Source organism: Homo sapiens, chromosome 10 (genome assembly GCF_000001405.40).
Source record: "Homo sapiens chromosome 10, GRCh38.p14 Primary Assembly".
NCBI lineage: Eukaryota > Metazoa > Chordata > Mammalia > Primates > Hominidae > Homo > Homo sapiens.
This window is the reverse complement of record NC_000010.11, coordinates 42,423,177-42,442,536: the sequence shown is the minus strand read 5'-3', so window position 1 is coordinate 42,442,536 and position 19,360 is coordinate 42,423,177. Positions and strand designations below refer to the sequence as shown.

The window sequence follows — 19,360 nt, the reverse complement described above, 5'->3', positions numbered from 1 at the left end:
GATTATGGCCATTCTTGCAGGAGTAAGGTGGTATGGCATGTGGTTTTGATTTTCATTTTCCTGATCATTAGTGATGCTGAGCATTTTTTCATATGTTTGTTGCCCAGTGGTATATCTTCTTTTGAGAATTGTGTATTTATCTCCTTAGCCCACTTTTTGATGGGATTGTTTGTTTTTTCTCTTGCCCATTTGTTTGAGTTCCTTGTAGATTCTGTATATTAGTCCTTTATCAGATGTATAGATTTTGAAGATTTTCTTCCATTTTGTGGGTTGTCTGTTTACTCTGCTGATTGTTCCTTTTCCTGTGCAGAAGCTCTTTAGTTAAGTCTCACCTGTTTATCTTGTTTTCATTGCATTTGCTTTTGGGTTCTTGGTTATGAAGTCTTTGCCTAAGCCAATGTCTAGAAGATTTTTCTGATATTATCTTCTACAATTTTTATGGTTTCAGGTTGTAGATTTATGTCCTTGATCCATCTTGAGTTGATTTTTGTATAAGGTGAGAGTTGAGGATCCAGTTTCATTCTCCTGCACGTGGCTTTGCCAATTATCCTGGCACCATTTGTTGAATAGGGTTTACCTTCTTCACTTTATGTTTTAGTTGGCTTTGTTGAAGATAAGCTGGCTGTAGGTATTTGGGTTTATTTCTGGGTTTTCTATTCTGTTCCATTGGTGTATGTGCCTATTTTTATACCAGTACCATGCTGTTTTGGTGACAATGGCCTCACTGTATAGTTTGAAGTCAGATAATGTGATGGCTCCAGTTTTGTTGTTTTTGCTTAGTTTTGTTTTGGCTATGTGGGGTCTTGTTTGGTACCATATTTTAGAATTGTTTTTTCTAGTTCTGTGAAAAATGATGATGGTATTTTGATAGGAATTGCATTGAATTTGTAGATTGCTTTTGGCAGTATGGTCATTTTCACAATATTGATTCTACCCATTCATGAGCATGGAATATCTTTCCATTTGTTTGTGTCATCCATAATTTCATTCAGTAATGTTTTGTAGTTCCCAGTGGCATATCAAAAAGATAATCCACCATGATCAAGTGGGTTTCATACCAGGGATGCAGGGATTGTTTAACATATGCAAGTCAATAAATGTGATACATCACAGAAACAGAATTCTTTTTTTTTTTTAATTATACTTTAAGTTTTAGGGTACATGTGCACAACGTGCAGGTTTGTTACATATGTATACATGTGCCATGCTGGTGCGCTGCACCCACTAACTTGTCATCTAGCATTAGGTATATCTCCCAATGCTATCCCTCCCCCCTACCCCCACCCCACAACAGTCCCCAGAGTGTGATATTCCCCTTTCTGTGTCCATGTGATCTCATTGTTCAATTCCCACCTATGAGTGAGAATATGCGGTGTTTGGTTATTTGTTCTTGCGATAGTTTACTGAGAATGATGATTTCCAATTTCATCCATGTCCCTACAAAGGACATGAACTCATCATTTTTTATGGCTGCATAGTATTCCATGGTGTATATGTGCCACATTTTCTTAATCCAGTCTATCATTGTTGGACATTTGGGTTGGTTCCAAGTCTTTGCTATTGTGAATAATGCTGCAATAAACATACGTGTGCATGTGTCTTTATAGCAGCATGATTTATAGTCCTTTGGATATATACCCAGTAATGGGATGGCTGGGTCAAATGGTATTTCCAGTTCTAGATCCCTGAGGAATCGCCACACTGACTTCCACAACGGTTGAACTAGTTTACAGTCCCACCAACAGTGTAAAAGTGTTCCTATTTCTCCACATCCTCTCCAGCACCTGTTGTTTCCTGACTTTTTAATGATTGCCATTCTAACTGGTGTGAGATGGTATCTCATTGTGGTTTTGATTTGCATTTCTCTGATGGCCAGTGATGATGAGCATTTTTTCATGTGTTTTTTGGCTGCATAAGTGTCTTCTTTTGAGAAGTGTCTGTTCATGTCATTTGCCCACTTTTTGATAGGGTTGTTTGTTTTTTTCTTGTAAATTTGTTTGAGTTCATTGTAGATTCTGGATATTAGCCCTTTGTCAGATGAGTAGGTTGCGAAAATTTTCTCCCATTTTGTAGGTTGCCTGTTCACTCTGATGGTAGTTTCTTTTGCTGTGCAGAAGCTCTTGAGTTTAATTAGATCCCATTTGTCAATTTTGTCTTTTGTTGCCATTGCTTTTGGTGTTTTAGACATGAAGTCCTTGCCCATGCCCATGTCCTGAATGGTAATGCCTAGGTTTTCTTCTAGGGTTTTTATGGTTTTAGGTCTAACGTTTAAGTCTTTAATCCATCTTGAATTGATTTTTGTATAAGGTGTAAGGAAGGGATCCAGTTTCAGCTTTCTACATATGGCTAGCCAGTTTTCCCAGCACCATTTATTAAATAGGGAATCCTTTCCCCATTGCTTGTTTTTCTCAGGTTTGTCAAAGATCAGATAGTTGTAGATATGCGGCATTATTTCTGAGGGCTCTGTTCTGTTCCATTGATCTGTATCTCTGTTTTGGTACCAGTACCATGCTGTTTTGGTTACTGTAGCCTTGTAGTATAGTTTGAAGTCAGGTAGTGTGGTGCCTCTGGCTTTGTTCTTTTGGCTTAGGATTGACTTGGCGATGCGGGCTCTTTTTTGGTTCCATATGAACTTTAAAGTAGTTTTTTCCAATTCTGTGAAGAAAGTCATTGGTAGCTTGCTGGGGATGGCATTGAATCTGTAAATTACCTTGGGCAGTATGGCCATTTTCATGATATTGATTCTTCCTACCCATGAGCATGGAATGTTCTTCCATTTGTTTGTATCCTCTTTTATTTCCTTGAGCAGTGGTTTGTAGTTCTCCTTGAAGAGGTCCTTCACATCCCTTGTAAGTTGGATTCCTAGGTGTTTTATTCTCTTTGAAGCAATTGTGAATGGGAGTTCACTCATGATTTGGCTCTCTGTTTGTCTGTTGTTGGTGTATAAGAATGCTTGTGATTTTTGTACATTGATTTTGTATCCTGAGACTTTGCTGAAGTTGCTTATCAGCTTAAGGAGATTTGGGCTGAGACAATGGGGTTTTCTAGATATACAATCATGTTGTCTGCAAACAGGGACAATTTGGCTTCCTGTTTTCCTAATTGAATACCCTTTATTTCCTTCTCCTGCCTAATTGCCCTGGCCAGAACTTCCAACACTATGTTGAATAGGAGTGATGAGAGAGGGCATCCCTGTCTTGTGCCAGTTTTCAAAGGGAATGCTTCCAGTTTTTGCCCATTCAGTATGATATTGGCTGTGGGTTTGTCATAGATAGCTCTTATTATTTTGAAATACATCCCATCAATACCTAATTTATTGAGAGTTTTGAGCATGAAGCGTTGTTGGATTTTGTCAAAGGCCTTTTCTGCATCTATTGAGATAATCATGTGGTTTTTGTCTTTGGTTCTGTTTATATGCTGGATTACATTTATTGATTTGCGTATATTGAACCAGCCTTGCATCCCAGGGATGAAGCCCACTTGATCATGGTGGATAAGCTTTTTGATGTGCTGCTGGATTCGGTTTGCCAGTATTTTATTGAGGATTTTTGCATCAATGTTCATCAAGGATATTGGTCTAAAATTCTCTTTTTTGGTTGTGTCTCTGACTGGCTTTGTTATCAGGATGATGCTGGCCTCATAAAAGGAGTTAGGGAGGATTCCCTCTTTTGCTATTGATTGGAATAGTTTCAGAAGGAATGGTACCAGTTCCTCCTTGTACCTCTGTTAGAATTCGGCTGTGAATCCATCTGGTCCTGGACTCTTTTTGGTTGGTAAGCTATTGATTATTGCCACAATTTCAGCTCCTGTTATTGGTCTATTCAGAGATTCAACTTCTTCCTGGTTTAGTCTTGGGAGAGTGTATGTGTCCAGGAATTTATCCATTTCTTCTAGATTTTCTAGTTTATTTGTGTAGAGGTGTTTGTAGTATTTTCTGATGGTAGTTTGTATTTCTGTGGGATCGGTGGTGATATCCCCTTTATCATTTTTTATTGCATCTATTTGATTCTTCTCTCTTTTTTTCTTTATTAGTCTTGCTAGTGGTCTATCAATTTTGTTGATCCTTTCAAAAAACCAGTTCCTGGATTCATTAATTTTTTGAAGGGTTTTTTGTGTCTCTATTTCCTTCAGTTCTGCTCTGATTTTAGTTATTTCTTGCCTTCTGCTAGCTTTTGAATGTGTTTGCTCTTGCTTTCCTAGTTCTTTTAATTGTGATGTTAGGGTGTCAATTTTGGATCTTTCCTGCTTTCTCTTGTGGGCATGTAGTGCTATAAATTTCCCTCTACACACTGCTTTGAATGTGTCCAGAGATTCTGGTGTGTGGTGTCTTTGTTCTCGTTGGTTTCAAAGAACATCTTTATTTCTGCCTTCATTTCGATATGTACCCAGTAGTCATTCAGGAGCAGGTTGTTCAGTTTCCATGTAGTTGAGCGGTTTTGAGTGAGATTCTTAATCCTGAGTTCTAGTTTGATTGCACTGTGGTCTGAGAGATAGTTTGTTATAATTTCTGTTCTTTTACATTTGCTGAGGAGAGCTTTACTTCCCAGTATGTGGTTAATTTTGGAATAGGTGTGGTGTGGTGCTGAAAAAAATGTATATTCTGTTGATTTGAGGTGGAGAGTTCTGTAGATGTCTATTAGGTCTGCTTGGTGCAGAGCTGAGTTCAATTCCTGGGTATCCTTGTTGACTTTCTGTCTCGTTGATCTGTCTAATGTTGACAGTGGGGTGTTAAAGTCTCCCATTATTAATGTGTGGGAGTCTAAGTCTCTTTGTAGGTCATTCAGGACTTGCTTTATGAATCTTGGTGCTCCTGTATTGGGTGCATATATATTTAGGATAGTTAGCTCTTCTTGTTGAATTGATCCCTTTACCATTATGTAATGGCCTTCTGTGTCTCTTTTGATCTTTGTTGGTTTAAAGTCTGTTTTATCAGAGACTAGGATTGCAACCCCTGCCTTTTTTTGTTTTCCATTGGCTTGGTAGATCTTCCTCCATCCTTTTATTTTGAGCGTATGTGTGTCTCTGCACGTGAGATGGGTTTCCTGAACACAGCACACTGATGGGTCTTGACTCTTCATCCAATTTGCCAGTCTGTGTCTTTTAATTGGAGCATTTAGTCAATTTACATTTAAAGTTAATATTGTTATGTGTGATTTTGATCCTGTCATTATGATGTTAGCTGGTTATTTTCCTCGTTAGTTGATGCAGTTTCTTCCTAGTCTCGATGGTCGTTACATTTTGGCATGATTTTGCAGTGGCTGGTACCGGTTGTTCCTTTCCATGTTTAGTGCTTCCTTCAGGAGCTCTTGTAGGGCAGGCCTGGTGGTGACAAAATCTCTGAGCATTTGCTTGTCTGTAAAGGATTTTATTTCTCCTTCACTTATGAAGCTTAGTTTGGCTGGATATGAAATTCTGGGTTGAAAATTCTTTTCTTTAAGAATGTTGAATATTGGCCCCCACTCTCTTCTGGCTTGTAGGGTTTCTGCCGAGAGATCCGCTGTTAGTCTGATGGGCTTCCCTTTGAGGGTAACCTGACCTTTCTCTCTGGCTGCCCTTAACATTTTTGCCTTCATTTCAACTTTGGTGAATCTGACAATTATGTGTCTTGGAGTTGCTCTTCTCGAGGAGTATCTTTGTGGCGTTCTCTGTATTTCCTGAATCTGAACGTTGGCCTGCCTTGCTAGATTGGGGAAGTTCTCCTGGATAATATCCTGCAGAGTGTTTTCCAACTTGGTTCCATTCTCCCCATCACTTTCAGGTACACCAGTCAGACGTAGATTTGGTCTTTTCACATAGTCCCATATTTCTTGGAGGCTTTGCTCATTTCTTTTTATTCTTTTTTCTCTAAACTTCCCTTCTCGCTTCATTTCATTCATTTCATCTTCCATTGCTGATACCCTTTCTTCCAGTTGATCGCATCGGCTCCTGAGGCTTCTGCATTCTTCACGTAGTTCTCGAGCCTTGGTTTTCAGCTCCATCAGCTCCTTTAAGCACTTCTCTGTATTGGTTATTCTAGTTATACATTCTTCTAAATTTTTTTCGAAGTTTTCAACTTCTTTGCCTTTGGTTTGAATGTCCTCCCGTAGATCAGAGTAATTTGATTGTGTGAAGCCTTCTTCTCTCAGCTCGTCAAAGTCATTCTCCATCCAGCTTTGTTCCGTTGCTGGTGAGCAACTGCGTTCCTTTGGAGGAGGAGAGGCGCTCTACTTTTTAGAGTTTCCAGTTTTTCTCTTCTGTTTTTTTCCCCATCTTTGTGGTTTTATCTACTTTTGTTCTTTGATGATGGTGATGTACAGATGGGTTTTTGGTGTGGATGTCCTTTCTGTTTGTTAGTTTTCCTTCTAACAGACAGGACCCTCAGCTGCAGGTCTGTTGGAATACCCTGCCGTGTGAGGTGTCAGTGTGCCCCTGCTGGGGGGTGCCTCCCAGTTAGTCTGCCCGGGGGTCAGGGTTCAGGGACCCACTTGAGGAGGCAGTCTGCCTGTTCTCAGATCTCCAGCTGCGTGGTGGGAGAACCACTGCTCTCTTCAAAGCTGTCAGACGGGGACATTTAAGTCTGCAGAGGTTACTGCTGTCTTTTTGTTTGTTTGTGCCCTGCCCCCAGAGGTGGAGCCTACAGAGGCAGGCCGGCCTCCTTGAGCTGTGGTGGGCTCCACCCAGTTCGAGCTTCGCGGCTGCTTTGTTTACCTAAGGAAGCCTGGGCAATGGCGGGCGCCCCTCCCCCAGCCTCGCTGCCGCCTTGCAGTTTGATCTCAGACCGCTGTGCTAGCAATCAGTGAGACTCCGTGGGCGTAGGACCCTCCAAGCCAGGTGCGGGATATAATATCGTGGTGCGCTGTTTTTTAAGCCTGTCGGAAAAGCGCAGTATTCGGGTGGGAGTGACCCGATTTTCCAGGTGCCGTCCGTCACCCCTTTCTTTGACTCAGAAAGGGAACTCCCTGACCCCTTGCACTTCCCAAGTGAGGCAATGCCTCGCCCTGCTTCGGCTCGTGCATGGTGCATGCACCCACTGACCTGCGCCCACTGTCTGGCACTCCCTAGTGAGATGAACCCGGTACCTCAGATGGAAATGCAGAAATCACCCATCTTCTGCGTCGCTCACGCTGGGAGCTGTAGACTGGAGCTGTTCCTTTTTGGCCATCTTGGCTCCTCCCCAGGAACAGAATTCAAAACAAAAATCACATGATCATCTCAATAGATGCAGAAAAAGCATTTGACAAAATCCAGCATCCTTTTGTGATTAAAACCCTCAGCAAAATTAGCATACAAGGGACATACCTCAATATAATAAAAGCCATCCATTTCAAACCCACAGCCAACATAATATTGAATGGCAAAAGTTGAAAGCATTCCCCCTGAGAACAGGAACAAGGCAAGGATGCCCACTCTCACCACTCCAATTCAATATAGTACTGGAAGACCTAGCCAGCCAGAGCAATCACTCAAGAGAAAGAAAGAAAGGGCATCCAGATCAGTAACTAGGAAGTCAAACTGTTGCTGTTTGCTGATGATATGATCGTATACCTTGAAAACCCCAAAGACTCCTCCAGTAAAACTCCTAGAACTGATAAATGAATTCAGAAAAGTTTCAGGATATAAAATTAATGTACACAAATCAGTAGCTGTTATACCCCAACAGCGACCAAGCTGAGAATCAAACCAAGAACTCAACCCCTTTACAACAGCTGCAAAACAAACAAACAAAAAACCAGCTTAAGAATCTAACTAAGCAAGGAGGGGAAAGACCTCTACAAGGAAAACAGTTTTAGTGTTTTTAATGGGTTAAAATGAGAGGCAGCAGGTACAGCGGAAGAAGTCAGTGGTTGGGCATCGGTGTCCAACAGGTACTGGACCTTTGATGGTAAAGCCTTTGGTTTTGATTTACTAAAATATGAGGTATGATTATTTTCTAGTTTTTGTCATAAAACCTTAAAACCACTAAGTAAACCCTTCCATTTCTTGTTAAACATTGTAAAATTTCATACTCTGTGATTTATGCTGACTGAAGTTAGATTTGTTTCTATTTTGTGACTACCTTAAATAATACCTATAAACAGTAAACCGTTAGTAGTGTTTTTGCTGTAATTAAATGTAGTAAGACTTACCTTCCAAATTATAACTGAATTAATTTGTCAAACACTTGAACTTTTTGATTTATTCAAAATTTTATGCTGAGCAGCTAGAGGTAGGAACAGTTAGGGCTCTCCCTTACTCTTATGGAGAGGCGTACTTTCTCATGAGGGGAATACTCTGCTAGAATTAGTATCTTGTAATCGGTTAGTGTACAAAAAAACAAAACATGTGAGGCTGAGGCTACTGGCAAAGAGATCCAAGAGGGTAGATGGAGTCAAGCTTGTTGAAACAAGGAAGGAGAAAAGCATTATTCCAGACAGAGAACAGGGGTAGAGCAGGAAAATGCCTAGGTGCAGGTCAAATGATGTATAGAATAAAATTAATCAAATTTTGAAATGAACGGAAAGTATTCTCTGAGGGTCTCATTTGAGTCATGTCATGGCAGTCTTATTTAAACATGAAGTGAAAGTTAAATTTTTTAAGTTGTCATCTGTTTTCAGGGTGTGAGAGAATACTTAGGTGATACTCTTTTTATCCTCCACATAAGAAAACAGGACTAGAGAAACCTATGTCTTCCTCACTTGTTGGTGGCCTAGCAGCCCTGGTACACGAGCCTCTGAATCTGAAACACTTGTTTTGTCACAATATCGCCTGAAATAATACATTTAGGATTAGTAACTTAGTAAATGTGTTAGTCTTAGTCTTGTATTCATTGCAGTAAAATGGTCTTATACCAATATTATTCAATACATTACATTTTACTGTAGTAAATAAATAACAGAAATAGAAATCCTCAGCTGTTTTATGTCACTATAAAAAAATGAAATATTATTTTAAACTTTTTTCATTTTTTACAAAGGGAATTCATAAAATCCTTGTTAGTTTTGATGATAGGCACCACATTAAGGGCAGCATTTTATAACCTGTATCTCAAACATCCTCTGTGGAAGTTAAGAGCCTCTGATGGGTTTTCTATAGAGTGCTCATGATACCACACTCAGGCATTCATGGAGTGTAAGAAATATCCTAGTGCTTTGAAAAATTTGACATTTTAACCAATGAAAAAGTATACTTTGATAAGTTTATCTTATACTTCCCTTCCCCTTCAGGTATCTACTGAGCATTTTACTCAACAATACAGTTCATGTTCGACAATATTCCTTGATGACAGCATAGCCAGCCAGCCTCATCTTACAATGACACTAAAATCGTGAGTACAACTATAATGCCAAGGGATAGACTCCTTCATTCAAAAATTATTTCAGCCATTTGGTTGTCCTCTTCAGCAATCATTTTAAGAAATTGGAGTCAACTATATATTGATATCCAGATTTTAAATATTAAGTATCAGTTTCTCTTTTAATCTTAGACATCATGGTGGAAGGAAAAATCAGCAAATAAGCAATCCCAGAAAAAGTGCAGCTATTTGTTTGATGCCTTTATGCCTTAAGACAATGCTGAACTCAATGAGAAGGATAGGTTCCCTTTATTGAATGATTTTTGTGAAATATTAGTTTTTCAGTGCATTGCAGGCCTAAATCAATGCGTACTTCTTTGGACATTAGTCTTGGAAGAAGGAACAGCTTTTTCTCTACTGGCACCACAGTGTATCTGCATTTGATTTTCTCCCATTGTGCATGAGAACCTCATGGGCCACAAAGATGCTCTTTGAGAGCACCCTGAGATGAAGTTTATTTTAAAAGGAACAACAACCAACACCACCACAAGCTCCATTGGGTTTGTCCAGTGTACATCATTATCACTTCCTTGGATTATGAGTATTGATTTTTAGAACACAGTTTGGAAAGTGCTAATTTAGAATATTAATGTCTTCTGATGAAGGCCTAGTATCCAGAGTCTACAAGGAACTTAAACAAATTTACAAGAAAAAAACAAACCCATCAAAAAGTGGGTGAAGGATATGAACAGACACTTCTCAAAAGAAGACATTTATGCGGCCAACAAATATATGAAAAAAAGCTCATTATCACTGATCATTAGAGAAATGCAAATCAAAACCACGATGAGATACCATCTCATGCCAGTAAGAATGGTGAGCATTAAAAAGTCAGGAAACAACAGATGCTGGAGAGGATGTGGAGAAATAGAAATGCTTTTACACTGCTGGTGGGAGTGTAAATTAGTTCAACCATTGTGGAGACAGTGTGGTGATTCCTCAAGGATCTAGAACCAGAAACACCATTTGACCCAGCAATCTCATTACTGAGTATATATATACCCAAAGGATTTTAAGTCATTCTGCTATAAAGACGCATGTACATGTATGTTTTTTGCTGCACTATTTACAATAGCAAAGACTTGGAACCAACCCAAATGCCCATCAATGATAGACTGAATAAAGAAAATGTGCCACATATACACAATGGAATACTATGCAGCCATAAGAAAAATGAGTTCATGTCCTTTGTAGGGACATGGATGAAGCTGGAAACCATCATTCTCAGCAAACTAACACGGGAACAGAAAATCAAACACCACATGTTCTCACTCATAAGTGGGTGTTGAACAATGAGAGCACATGGACACAGGAAGGGGAATATCAAACACCAGGGCCTGTGGGGAATCGGAGGCAAGGGGAAGGATAGCATTAGGAGAAATACCGGGTTGATGGGTGCAGCGCACCAGCATGGCACATGTATACATATGTAACAAACCTTCACGTTCTGCACATGTATCCCAGAACTTAAAGTATAATTTAAAAAAAACATGGCGGCCAGGCATGGTGGCTCATGCTTGTAATCCCAACACTTCGGGAGGCCAAGGCAGGCCAAACACCTGAGATCAGGAGTTCGAGACCAGCCTGGCTAACACGGCAAAACCCTGTCTCTACTAAGAATACAAAAATTAGCTGGGCGTGATGGCAGGCACCTGTAATTCCAGCTACTTGGGAGGCTGAGGCAGGAGAATGGCTTGAACCCAGGAGGCAGAGGTTGCAGTGAGCCGAGATCGCACCATTGCACTCTAGCCTGGGCAACGAGAGTGAAACTCCGTTTCTAAAACTAATAATTACAACAACAAAGAGGCAAGTTTACGCTCATAATAATGTCACTTCCTCTCTCCCTTATCACAGTAGTAGAGATGAAATTGTGTTTCAGTGAAAACTGGATTCAAACCCTGTCTCAAGTCCTGCGCTTTGGGACCTATTGCATAATCACTACATGTCTGTATTCAGCCAAGCCTCTAAATCCTTGAGCAAAAAAAGAAAAAATCACTCTGGTTTGTATCCCTGGCTTCTTTTGAATTCAAAAGTTTTGATGTGTTAGCATACAATTTAAAAGTAGTTTTAAACATTAATCTTGCTCAAACAAATTTCACGCTTTTTTCCTCATTATTCTAATTTTTAGAAGTCTACTTTTGAAAGTAAAGTAAGTTTTAATTTCCCATCAACAAGTTTGAGAAATTATCATTTGGTATATTCACTATTAGTGAAATAAAGGTTTATTGAGCAAATTAATAGGGCAAATTGGCTTCAAGAAAAGATTTTGAAAAATGTTTATTATGGGTTAGTAGTACACTGTTGTCAATGGGGTAGATGGAACTCATTGGGATCACTTTTGCAAGGTTTTTTTTTTCAAAATACATGTCTGCAAACATTTGTATCTTCCCACCTCAACCTTCCCTCTGTCTCTAGGCACTGAGAAGCCCTTTAGGAAAATAGGAATCGATGTGAGGCATCTTCTTGTGAAGAAAAGCATCCCAGAAGATTCTGATTTTCACCCCAACTCAATCACTCCAAACTTTGCTGCACTTTGAAGTCACCAGGAAAATTTTTAACAACAACCCTAATGCCTGAAGTCCTACCCAATGCTAACTAATTAAACTAAAAAGTCTCATGTTGAAAATGAGGCAGTTATTAAAGCTCCTCAGTTGATTTTAATGTACAGCAAAGTTTGAGAGCACTGCTTAATTTGAGTTTAGGATGAGAAGCTGCTCCTATTTGGTGGGACCTTGGGCAAGTCAGTTTTAAGGTTTGTTTCCCTGATCTGTAAAATGAGTGTTGGATTAAATGTCATGTAAGGTCATTGGTCCTTTCCAGCATGTAACTTCAAATTCTGTGATTTTAAAATGATTTTAGAAGTGAAAACTACTTGAAGCACTATAGACATATCCATCTTAAATGCTAATGTTATAAGCTTTTTAAAAAGTGCTAATATTGTATAGACCTATTATTAACCGAGGGATTTTCCTTCCCTCAGTTATTTTGAGTCTCATTCTAGATGCTGAGAGCAAATGGAAGCACATAACTTATGTAAGAGAACCTCTTGTTTTGTGATACACAGCATCTGTGAGTAACTTAGGAATATAGTTACATGTATCTGAAGAGGTGTATCTGTTCATAAATATTTCAGTTAAACTAATTGAAGGTACCTGCCATTCATATTACACTGTGTCATGGTATACTGCCTTGTCAGCACTGCATATTTTGGGATCACTGCACCTATCATTGATTTCCTGTGTGCGTATATTTACTAATATATTTTTAAATAATTATGCAAAAGTGATTTCAAATAATTTTTTTATAAAGCACTTTCATTATGTATTTTTAGGGAAATAATTAAAAATGGGTGGTAGGAGATAGTGAACTAAACTAAAATGCAGGGCCTAACATCTTAAAAAGAAAACACTACTGTATGGCTTAAACATATGGACACATAGATGTAAACTGCATGAAGCTGTGTGCGGTGGCTCATGCCTGTAATCCCAGCACTTTGGGAGTTCCGAGGCAGGTGGATCACTTGAGGCCAGGAGTCTGAGACCAACCTGGCCATCATGGCGAGACCCTGTCCCTACTAAAAATAGAAAAATTAGCTGGGCATAGTGGTGCAAACCTGTAGTTCCAGCTACTTGGGAGGCTGAGGCTTGAGAATCCCTTGTACCTGGGAAGTGGAAGTTTTGGTGAGCCAAGATCGCGCCACTGCACTTCAGTCTGGGTGACAGAGTGAGAGAGACTCTGGGTCAAAAAATAGATAAATGCATAAAATAAATTGCATGGGATGAAAGGTTTTGTGGGTAGAAGAGCATATAACAGGGAAATATGTTGTTATTTATATATTATAATCACAACAGAAACATGTCTTCTAAAAGCATACTGCCTTGCATTTTGGTTCTCATATTTTTGCTAAAAGCCAAGAAATGAAAATAAGAAAGTGCCCTTATGGTACTGTTCTGAACTATAAGATTTGAATTTCAGAGCCGCTAGGAGAGTTTCCTCTGCCCCCCTCTTAAAAAATGTCTTCAAGCCTAACAAATGATAACATTTATTGTTATGAATATTTTTTTTCCTTCCACAGTGTGACCTTGGCACTATATTATCATATCAAGCAAAGGTGAGCTTTTTTAAAACCTGTCTTGTTATTCTGGCTAATTACTTTGCATGATATTAAGCTCAGCGTTAGATCATAGCTCTAGACATCATAAGCTGTATTGTGCCTACTAAAATATCGAAGCAAATTATTTGTGTTTTCTTTGGTCCTTGAGACTTTTTAAATTCTTAAATGATTAAGTATCCCAATGAGTATGATTTTATATTGATTATATTGATATTTACTCTGATAGAAATATAAACTTGAGATTTTTTTCAAAATCTATTTTTAGTTTAGATTTCACAGTCTTAACACTATTGATATTATGAGCTAGATAATGCTTTGTTGTGAAGACTGTCCTGTGCATTACAGAAAATTCAGCAACACTGATGGCCTTTACCCACTAGATGTCAGTAGTAACCCATGACCCAGGTTGTGACAATAGAAAATATTCCTTGAGAACAATATTGTTAACATAAAATTTTAAAAGAAAATATAACTTTTCTATGATGAAAAGTTGAGTAAAAAGTGTATCATGTATCTATATTATTGATAATCTGTAGTGTTGCGCTTAATAGAAGACAGCTGGATTCTCTAGCTCTTTCTTTGCAATTTGCTTTAAAGAAGCAATAAGATGACCTAGCCTCATGCAAATATGTAGTTGGTAAAAGGTGTATTTTTAAAGCTTTAAGACAGTTGTGGGTATTCTTTAATACTAAATCAAAACTTCACAAGTGCTAGTTTCTTAAATTAGTTACAGTGGCATTTTACATATTAGCAAATGTATTCTCAGTACTCACCGATCTTTCTTGCACAATAAATGGTTCTTTCCCCACATACTTGCATTTATAATATTATGCATTAGTTATTTGGAAAATATTGGTTTATGTTTTATTGTATCAAAAAGGACTTTTTTAATTTAACCACCAATTTTATTTTAAAACATCCTTAAGTATTGAGAAGCTGTCAAGCTTACAGTAGAAGGAACAAGTTTTTCAAAGTCTTCAGGAAAGCTTAAATTCTATCACTGGAAACAAATACTTATTTTCCTTGTGACATGAGTGACACATTTCCTTGTGAATGAGTGACAGCTTCATTTATTTTTGAGAATGATAGTTGTACCTTTTTTTTAGACCGAGTTTCACTCTGTCACTTGGCTAGAGTCCATTGGCATGATCTCAGCTCAAGCAATCCTCTCACCTCAGGCTCCTGAGTAGCTGGGACCACAGATGTGTGTCAGCATGCCTGGATAATTTTTTTGTGTTTTTGGTAGAGACAGGGTTTTGTCATGTTGCCCAGGCTGGTCTCGAACTCCTAAAGGAGCTCAAGTGATCTGCCTGTTTTGGCCTCCCAAAGTGCTGGGATTTTACAGGTGTGAGCCACTGTGCTGGCCCGGTTGTATTTTTAAATGAAACTGATGTTTCTCTTTAGTTCTCTGTAGTATATTCTCATGATGTATTTATTATTTTTAGTAATTTAAATTAAAGGAAGCTAGCAAATCTGAATCACATTTACATTTATTAAAGTTCTAAAGAGATTATTGCCCACCACTACTGCTTTGTAAAACGTTCTTGTGTTTCAGTGTGTGGTTCGAGGAGTGAAAATGTGTTTGGTTTATTGCCATTGCCTGTTAGGGAGGGTCAATACTTACAGGCAGTTGTAACTGGTTATGGTATAAAAGACTTCACAGTACAGGACATGCTATGCTGAGGAAGAAGAGGTCAGGAAACCCTCCGCAAGTCAGTATCAAGGAGAATTTGTAAAAACTGTTTGCTTTGGTGAAGTAAACACCAAAGCACATAGGCACATAGGAAGCATTATTTTACTAAACAGATATTATACTAAGATATTAACAGTTTTTGAAGTAATACACATTCTTATTTTATAGAGATGCACATAGATCTTTGGGCATATTTGATGAACAGTTACACCCACTTACAGTGTCACTTTTTTTTTTTTTTTTTTTTTTGAGATGCAGTTTCAATCTTGCTGTCCAGGCTGGAGTGCAGTGCTGCCATCTTGGCTCACTGGAACCTCTGCTTCCCAGGTTGAAGCGATTCTCCTGCCTCAGGCTCCCAAGTAGCTAGGATTACAGGTGCCTGCCACCACGTCCGGCTAATTTTGTATTTTTAGTAGAGATGGGGTTTCACCATGTTAGCCAGGCTGGTTTTGAATTCCTGACCTCGGCCTCCCAAAGTGCTGGGATTACAGGCGTGAGCCACCGCACCCGGCCCAGTAAGTCTCACTTTTATTGAGTTTGTATTTTCTTTCTTGTTTTTTTTTTTTTTTTTTTTTTTGAGATGGAGTCTCACTCTGTTGCCCAGGCTCGAGTGCAGTGGCGCAATCTCGGCTAACTGCAAGCTCTGCCTCCTGGGTTCATGCCATTCTCCTGCCTCAGCCTCCCGAGTAACTAGGACTACAGATGCCTGCCACAACACCCAGCTAATTTTTTGTATTTTTAGTAGAGACAGGGTGTCACCATATTATCCAGGATGGTCTCAATCTCCTGACCTCATGATCCACCCGCCTTGGCCTCCCAAAATGCTGAGATTACAGGGGTGAGCCACCACGCCCAGCCTGAGTCTGTATTTTCATCATAGATTTGTATCTGTTTCGTGCCCGCAGTCAAAGGCATCTTTCTTTAAGTCTTGTTCCCCATTTCATGTGGCATCTAGTCATCTTATTTTAAAAGTGTTGTAAAAAGAACATGCTGGAATAAGAACTGATCTGCAGGTATGTTTAATTAGTGAGCTAATGTGAGTAAATATACTATCCAAATAACAGAAAACATATCTTTTTAAAAGATAATTGTTAATAGTATCAAGCAGTATAAGTATATGTAAATACTTTTAACAAAGAAGCATGATTTTTATGAAGAGGGTTAAAAATAATTTAAGTTCGCTGGTTGTGGTGGCTCACACCTTTGTAATTGCAGCACTTTGGGAGGCTGAGGCGGGTGGATCACCGGAGGTCAGGAGTTTGAGACCAGCCTGACCAATATGATGAAACCCTGTCTCTACTAAAAATATAAAAATTAGCCGGGCATGGTAGCATGTGCCTGTAAACCCAGCTACTCGGGAGGCTGAGATAGAAGAATCGCCTGAACCCAGGAGGTGGAGGTTGCAGTGCACCAAGATCACATCATTGCACTCCAGCCTGGGCAACAAGAGTGAAAATCTGTCTCAAAAAATCAAACAAAAAAAAAAGAAGAAGAATTTAAGTTTATATCAACTTACATGGTGTAAAAATTTAAAAATGTACTTCCTTAGGTACATAATAGCCACATGTGGCTAGTGACTATTGTATTTATCAGCACAGGCTTAGAGCCTCATGGTTACAGGTAACTATATTTTTTCAAAGTTTATTGCAGAGAAGTATGACATACAGTCAGTAAGACATTAAAGCTTACATTTGGATGGAGTAGCTTACATTTGGATGGAATTATGTGAGGGAAAGGGTAAAAAAGAATATAAACATTTTCTGAGCTTAAGCTCATATTATTTTTAAGTGAATGTGGATGAGTATTAAATCATTATGGTATTTCAGGATCCTGCTGTTCATATTGTAAAAAACTAAAAGACATCTCACCAATCAAAATTATCGTAAGTGACACATGGGCACAAATGTGAACACTGCTGTCTTAAGAGCACCTCAGGTTTTTTTCTTCAATGGATACTTACATTGCATCCTTTCTTCTTTCAGCGAAAAGAGGTTTTGGAGGAATATTTTAAGTATGATCCTGAACACAAATTGATCTTCAGATTTGTTCGTACTCTGTTTAAAGCCATGAGGCTAACAGCTGAGTTTGCAATCGTAAGTTTGGTAAGATATTTTCTATTTATAAAGCAGCTTTAGAAGTTCTTCTTGTAAACAGGGTGGTATGGTCCTGTTTTTTAATACAGTAGGTTTCTGAAGTTATCTCAGAATTTTAAGAGAAACTTTTGAAAGCAAATACACACATTTTAGTTGAATCATCATTATGGCTTAAAATGTCACAGTTGCTTTTCTCATCACAGAACAATTGCTATTAAAGGCAGCAGGAGGGATTTCTGATTTCTCCCCCAACACATCAATAAACACATGCACACACAGTGCACACACATCCAGGTCATGTGGACAGCTTGGAATGGGGAGCAGTAACAAAACCATCTGGCTGATGGGCAGGAAGGGATGCCAGTGTAGGTCTAAGCTGAGTCCCAGGGTATATCCCCAGGCAATTCTGATGCATGTTGTCATTGACAGCTGCTGCCCTCAATTCTTTGTTCCTTGGATGATGTGTGTTTATCTATCCCTGCTGATCACCTGTGCTTGCTCATGAAGTTGCCCAGGAATGTGGTTCCAGTTGGTCTACCAAACCATAGCTGTGTCGTTACATTTACATTATCCCTACAAATTCCTTTTGTAAACCTATCATTTTAAATAATAAATTCTGCTCAAATTGTTAAAAATAGTCTTACTCCTCCCCACAACAAACCTATAGAGGAAAGTCAACTGCATGGCCAGGAATGAAAAAATACTTAGGTCAATACTTGTTTAGCAACCAGTTAGATTCTAGGGGAGAAGGCTCCTGCTGTGCACCTGAATCAAAGCCCTCAAAGGGCACTGGACCAGATACAGTCCTCTCGAGAAGCTGCAAGTCATTTGGGACTGTTAGCACATGCTAGAGGGAAGCAGGAGTGGTGTTTCCAGATGTAGAGATAGGTGATGCAGGAGGGAAAGCTGGATTGGAAAAGGGAGAGTTTTGTACATAGGCTAAGCTTGGTGTGCCTTTGAGAGAGCAGAGTAGCACAGTCTAGTCATCATTTGGATATACAGGACTAGAGCATGAATTGGACATAGAGCTACAGAATGAAGAGCAACGGCAGCTGTTTAAATACCAAGAAAGTGTGTAGAATGAAATTGGACAAGCCGGGCATGGTGGTTTCATGCCTTTAGTCCTAGCTACTTGGGAGGCTGAGGTGGGGGAATTACTTGAGCCCAGCAGTTTAAGTCCAGCCTGGGCCAGATGATGAGACCCTGTATTTTTTTTTTTTTTTTTTTTTAGAGGGAGCCTCACTCTGTTGCCCAGGCTGGAGCGTGCAGTGGCACAATCTCGGCTCACTGCAAGCTCCACCTCCCAGGTTTACGCCATTCTCCTGCCTCAGCCTCCCGAGTAGCTGGGACTACAGGCACCCGCCACAACGCCCGGCTAATTTTTTGTATTTTTAGTAGAGACGGGGTTTCACCATGTTAGCCAGGATGGTCTCGATCTCCTAACCTCCTGATCTGCCCGCCTCAGCCTCCCAAAGTACTGGGATTACAGGTGTAAGCCACCGCGCCCAGCCGAGACCCTGCATCTTAAGAAAACAAAAAGTAAGGCCAGGTACGGTATCTCATGCCTGTAATGCCAGCACTTTGGGAGGCCAAGGTGAGAGGATTGCTCAAGTGTAGGAGTTCAAGACCAGACTGGGCAATAAAGTGAGACCCATTTCTACAAAAAAAAAAAATTAAGAAATTAGCTGGACATGATGGTACATGCCTGTGGCACCAGGCACATGGCAGGCTGAGGCAGGAAGTTCACTTGAGCCCAGGAGGTGGAGGCTACACTCTAGCCTGAGCAACTGAGTGAGACCCTGTCTCAAAAACAGATAAAATGGACAGAATATAGGTTGGTAAAGACTATTATCATTTAAGGGACAAGCCCCCAGAAGAGTGTCTACTAGAGTGGGAAGAGGAAAAGCAGAAGAGGATAATAAAAGGAGAAAGAGTTCAAGATAGGAGAAGCTGTAGTCACAGTGCTGAATGCTGCCAAGCAGTGACTGATTAGTGAACACTCACTGGATGCTGACCCTGTGCCGCTCTTCTAAGTGCGGAGGTAGAGGAGAGGACAGGTGGAACACAGTTCTTGCTTTTATGAGCTTATATTCTAGGAAGATGGAACTTAAGTGTATGAAACAGCAGGAAGAGGAAGCAGGATAAAGGGA

The 19,360-nt window shown here is 39.6% G+C and overlaps 1 pseudogene across 1 annotated transcript in view; it reads left to right on the top strand.

Moving 5' to 3' along the window:
- CCNYL2 (cyclin Y like 2 (pseudogene)) overlaps positions 1-19,360 on the top strand; it is a 64,067-nt pseudogene that overhangs the window by 29,704 nt on the left and 15,003 nt on the right. Inside the window, exons 4-6 of the transcript NR_103829.1 lie at positions 9,183-9,283; positions 13,386-13,421; positions 17,100-17,219. The product of NR_103829.1 is annotated as a cyclin Y like 2 (pseudogene) (transcript). The remainder of the gene's footprint in view (positions 1-9,182; positions 9,284-13,385; positions 13,422-17,099; positions 17,220-19,360) is intronic.